Here is a 6,000-nt window from a genome sequence, read left to right as displayed (position 1 = left end):
AAACACAGATAAACAGGTTGGGCACAAGAGTCGGGGAGTCTCCTGGGTAATCACCAAACTTCACACTCATACAATGGGCCCCAGTAAAAACAGTGGGCCTTAATAAGCACATTCCTTTCCCTTTAGGCACACTAAGATAGGGAAGCTAAAAGCGGACTCTGGGATGAGGTGGGGGCGATACCTGCAGCTGCAAGAAGATGTCTGGGAACAGACACAGAAACCCTCACTCCTAGATAAGCAAAACAAAGCAGCACAGACGAAGAGTTTGCCTACGGCCGGCCGCCGTGGCTCACGCCTGTAATCCCAGCACTTTGGGAGGCTGAGGCAGGCAGATCACCTGAGGTCAGGAGTGCGAGACCAGCCTGGCCAACATGGTGAAACCCCGTCTCTACAAAAACACACACAAAAAAGCCGGGCATGATGGCGCGCGCCTGTAATCTCAGCTACTAGGGAGGCTGATGTGGGAGAATTGCTTGAACCCGGGAGGCGAAGGTTGCAGTGAGCCGAAATTGCGCCATTGCACTCCAGCCTGGGCGACACAGCTAGACTCCGTCTCAAAAAAAAAAAAAAAAAAAAAAGAAAAGAGTCTGCCTACATAATTAAGGAACGGAGTGAATGGGGTGAGAACTGATAGAAATCTCTGCTCTGTGCAGACAGCACACCTGGCCCCAACTAAATCTTTGGGCCTTAGGAAGATAAGTTCCCCACCCCCCCACTCCTCACTAGCCCATTTATAAAAACCCTAACCTTTTTTTACCACGACTTGGCAACCCGCTTGGGACCCTTCTCTGTGACAGAAAGCTGTTATTTCCTTTTGCCTATTGAACTCCTGCTCCAGTCTCACTGTGTGTGTGCGTGTGTTTCCGCAACCTCAATTTCCTCGGCTGTGAGATCAAGAACCTTGGTATTTACCCCGGACAACGAGTCTGCTTCACAATGACTGGTAGCATTGAGTGCATAAAAGAGGTGTTGAGCCCTATTTCCAGGAAAAGCAACTTGATAACTCCATGGTCAAGTTTAGCATGCCTTTGTGGGAGTGGTACCCTCAGAGAGAATGCAATTATTTGTAGAGCTTCAGTAAATAGAATGAAAACATTAGTTTTATTAAAAGGGGACTGACTTTGGGTTCCTATGGCGGAGCGGCACCTTGGAATTTCTGTTCACACATAAAATAAGGTAGGAAGAAAATGAATATGCTCTGATGGGCAACTTAAGAGACAAAAGCAGTCAGTATCTCAGAGCTGGGTTCCCTATTCTGCTAGTTTGCCCCACAACCTCTCTGCCTTGGTGGTTCCTGTTACAATATTCCTAGAAGTGATATTTCCTTCATTTATTCTCCAGCACTCAACAAACATTTGTGAAGCACCACTTAGCCTTAGGTAGAACTAAAATATTCTTTTGCAAATGACCTAATTTAAAACAATCACCCAATTTGCAACATTTAAAAATATTTAAAATTATAACTTGCTGTGTCACAATGGCCAGAGGCTAAACAAGAGAGAAATAAGAGCATCCAGAGAGAAATTACTATACAAATGGGCATTTCATGATTGAATAGAAGAGTTGGGCTCAGTTGTTCCATTTATAAAGTGGTTCATTAATAGTACGGTGGCCGGTACATCATTGGTAGTAAATAAAATATTTGTTGAATGAATAAATGAAGGCAAGGATCTTGTTTGTTTGATTCACATTTGTATACCTACTCTTACACCAGTGTCTGGCACATGAAAGAAGTTTAAAATATTGGTGTATTGAACAAATAAATAACTAATTTTATTTATTTATTTATTTTGCAATTACTATACTGTGATTACATACAAAGTTGATGTGCGGGTTCAGTATTAAAATCTCAACTGCTACTCAAGAGGCTAGAGTTAGTTCCAAAACAGTGCCACATAACTTTTCCCACTAAAATGTAAGCTCCATGAGATGGAGCTTTGTCTGAGTTAGTTGTGCCTTAATGCTTTTAATAAAAATACATTAAATGAATGACTGCTAACTTCTAGGAGTTTTACAGTGAAAGCAGACAACATGTGTCAATCTATTCTAAAAAATCAAAACCAAAACCGAAACCCACTGTTTAAGAGAAACCCAAGTTTTCTGCTGCACTAACAAGTATCTTTCATGCCAACATCTTGAGACACCTTAGTTCAGAATTCCCAGCCTGTGAGAGGACGGTACCATACCTGACATTCATGCTACTGGGCCAGCACCCCTGATTAATTTTTAATGTATCTTTATGAGTTTCCTCAGTGTTAACCACAATCCAGGTGGGGTGTACAAATTTAAAACAAACAAAAAAAAGTCTTTCAGGAATGAAAAATAATGTAAGCTGAAATCAATATTTATGAAGTTGTGATTAATTGACTGATGACCAAATGATTACAAAATGTCTGTCTGAAACATCTACTCAAATTTATTAGCTTTGACCAAAAAAATTAAAAAACAATCCAAACTGGGTCAATGAAAGAATAATGCATTCCTAATCAATTTTTAATAGCACTTAAGATTTTATATTTTTTTAAACTTGCTTTTAAATAATTTATCATCAAAATGAATCTGATTTAAACATGGGGTAAAAGGTGTTCCATAGCTATTTGATGGTTTTCTTAGCAAAGAAATTCAATTATGACTGACTTTTTATTACTGAGACACTTTATTAATAATAATACATCTTGCACTTACACAAAGGCATTGGGCCAACATTCTCAGAGAGTCCAGCAAATGTGATCTAGGATTTAGCCCCAATTCTACTGTTATCTGGTGATTTACCTTATGTAGGCCTTGATTTCCTCATCTGTGAAAGGAAAGGCCTGCATAACAACCCCTAAGAGCCATTTTAGCTCTAAATGTTTATAATTCTAAGGATGTAGGACAGCTTTAGCCCATTCCAGATGTCAAATGTAATAGAACTCATCAGATCACAGGGCTGCTCAAAAAGCTACCAAGATGTGGTGATCAAAATTAAGCAGCAGTGAACCACATAATTTTTGTTTTCCTATTAGGGTAATGGTAGGATCTTTTAGTGATTTGGGCCAAACGACATCTATTTAGAACATGAATTGTCAAAAAATGGGAAATGTCCTTCACAGAGCAGAGAAGAGATAATTCCTGACCTTAAGCCACTTGCATTATTAAAAGCAAAGCCTGGGAACTAGCCTGGCATTCATCTGGACTGAGGAAGAGTCCTAATCAATCTATATTGCTAACAATATTATTTGGATATGTGTGTGCATGTGTGAGGGCATATGTGTATTGATTCATAAAACATTAAGTGAATAAAGCAGGTATGTTATGCTATGACCTTGTTTGTGCTTATGTATACAGTAATAGATGAATTAGTATGTTTTAAGGATATGTTCTAGAATGTTAATAGTGATTTCTACACTGGATACAGAGGTGAGGCAGAAATATGGAGGAACTTTTACTTATTTTATATACTTTTTAATGGCTTGTTTTTCTTAAAATGAGCATGTGTTATTTTTATAATTCTCAAAAAGCAATAGAATCTTCCATTTTGAGATTAAAAACAAGTAAAGAAATTGTTTAAAATAAAACAGCCTGAGTTTATTATAAAGGTAGGCTGTAGCAAATGAGAATATTACTATTTGTGGAACAGTAACCTATTACAGACATTAGATAAATTGGATGCAATCCCTGACCTCAAGAAACATAGCCTGTTGTGGGGACAAACACATCACCAACTATAATACAATGTCATCAGCACAGAAATGGCTGTATGGACTGTGCACTGAAACACTGAGAAGCTGTGACAATGGTATGAAATGTGGAAAGAGATGTTAGAGATAGTCTAAATTTTAATACTTTACTTAAAATGCAGGATATGATTTTTAAAATTATCTTTGTGACTACATATTGACACCCATCAACAAGATGATTTACAAGGAAATGAACTTGCCCCATTAAGTAATGGGAAATGTTTTGAAAAGAAATGTCTTTACAATAGAATACTATTGAGCCATAAAAAATAATAAAATCCTGTCATTTGCAACGGCATGGTTGAACCTGGAGGACGCTGTGTTGAGTGAAACAAGCCAGACACAGAAAGACAATTACCACATGATCTCACATGTACAATCTAATAAAGTTGATCTCACAGAAGTAGAGTGCAGAATAGTGCTCACGGCTGTAATCCCAGCACTGTCGGTAGGTCAAGGAGGGGGGATCCATTGAGCCCAGGAGCTCAAGACCAGCCTGGGCAACATGGGGAAACCACTCCCCGACCCTCGAGGCAGGCGGATCACTTGAGGTCAGGAGTTGGAGACCAGCCTGACCAACAGGGTGAAACTCCGTCTTTACTAAAAATACAAAAATTAGCCAAGCATGGTGGCGCATGACTGTAATCCCAGCTACTCGGGAGGCTGGCTGAGGCAGGCGGATGGGATCGCTTGAGCCTGGGAGGTCGCTGTGTTGGCACCTAGTGGTGACAGAGCTAGACCCTATCTCAAAAAACAAAACAAAAGTTGCCAGAAGCCATGGAGCTACCGTTTAGGTAGGAAGTTGTTGGGGGCAGGGATTTCCGCTGAAGCAGCCCAGGTCCAGAACCCCTTTCTCTTAACCATGAGGCTGCTTCTTGAAGTCATACTGCGTCTTTTTCACAAAGATTAGTAAAAGTTGTCCCGATGGTCTTGTCTTTAAATCTCTCAACTCACAGATTTTACTTGTTAGCGTAATTTATCACATCAGCTCTTCCTCGCTTCAAGTAAGTTGCAGATAAATTCCAAATTTGTTATACTGCATTTAAGATAAATTTAGGAACTTTTAGGTTTTTTTCTTTTTTGTTGGTAGGAAACGCAACTTATAACCTCACAAATTCTCCCTTGGGGTTCAACAACACAGCGGTACATTTCATATGCAACCATGCACCTGAAATGAAGACGTGAAAACGTTAATCTCCTTTTGGTGGAAAACCCAGAGAAGCCCACAGTAAAAATGTATTTTCAGGGAAAGCTGCGATTAAATGTATCAGGATCGTCTCGGACACAGATAAGGAGACAATCACTGTTTTCTTAAGTGAATTATTGTGCCCTCTGGAAGCACATTATATTGAGTGGAAAGAGAACTGACAGAGGTGGAAAGCTGTTTTGAAAAAAATTGAAACGTGTAGATAATGTCTTTTCTCTATGTTTTGATTACGCTGTGTTGGCGGATGTGTGGGGTTTAATAATTAGGCGAAAAACTCTCCATCCTTCACCCCATCCAATCCCCGAAAACAATTTGGGGATTTAAAAAATCGCCTTTCCGTATCTTCCTCTTCTGTCTCCACTATTCCGCTTTCCTTTAGATTTTCCAAGATCCTCGATACTTGTAGTAAACTACCTTCCTACACATTCGCAGGAATCTTGCAGCTCCCTAATCAGTGAATTTTCTTTCTTTCTTTCTTTCTTTCTTTTTTTTTTTTTTTTTTTTAATGAAAGGAAAACGCCTTGGAGATCGCGCGTTTCGAAAGCGCGTTTTCGTTTTCTCTCCTGGGCGGGTTATGGCCCTACCGGGGCGCCGTAGCCGGCCCGCGCGTGCCCAGTCTTGGCGAAGAGTAGCGGTAGGTCGGCGGGACTTCCGTGTTGGCGGGATTCTGAACGCTGCCATGGCTCAGACCGTGCAGAATGTTACATTGTCGCTCACTCTGCCCATCACGTGCCACATTTGCTTGGGGAAGGTAATGGGTGATTGTGGGCACAGCTACAAAACGGGGTTGGATAAGTCGCTCGCCGGGGCCGAGGGCCGTCTCGTGCGGGGGCGGGGAAGGGGCGTGAGGCGCGGAGATGGGAGAAAACGCTAACCCGCGTTCTTGATGGGAGGCCGCGTCCTGGGAGATGGGGGTAGCGCACCGTGATTAATGGATTCATCTGGGCGCCTTTCGGAGGAGGGTGACAGCGGCCCGTGGTCTGCCGGGAGGGCGGCGAGACGGCCCTGCCACCGCCCGCGGCCTCACACTGGCAAGACACCGGCCTCGAAGGAGGCCCCATCAGAAACGCATCG

The 6,000-nt window shown here is 41.6% G+C and overlaps 1 protein-coding gene across 2 annotated transcripts in view; it reads left to right on the top strand.

The window, feature by feature from the left end:
* The first annotated feature begins 5,570 nt into the window (after positions 1-5,570).
* Positions 5,571-6,000, top strand: part of OBI1 (ORC ubiquitin ligase 1) — a 44,867-nt gene continuing 44,437 nt past the window's right edge. For both annotated transcript variants that reach the window (XM_011535225.2, NM_024546.4), the window contains exon 1: positions 5,571-5,677. Coding sequence is in view for 1 of the 2 variants with exons in the window: in NM_024546.4 (NP_078822.3) it covers positions 5,606-5,677 (72 nt within the window). In the remaining variant the exon portion in view is untranslated. The remainder of the gene's footprint in view (positions 5,678-6,000) is intronic.

Source organism: Homo sapiens, chromosome 13 (genome assembly GCF_000001405.40).
Source record: "Homo sapiens chromosome 13, GRCh38.p14 Primary Assembly".
NCBI classification, from domain to species: Eukaryota; Metazoa; Chordata; class Mammalia; order Primates; family Hominidae; genus Homo; species Homo sapiens.
The sequence above is the reverse complement of the archived record's forward strand: the minus strand, read 5'-3'. Positions and strand labels throughout refer to the sequence as shown.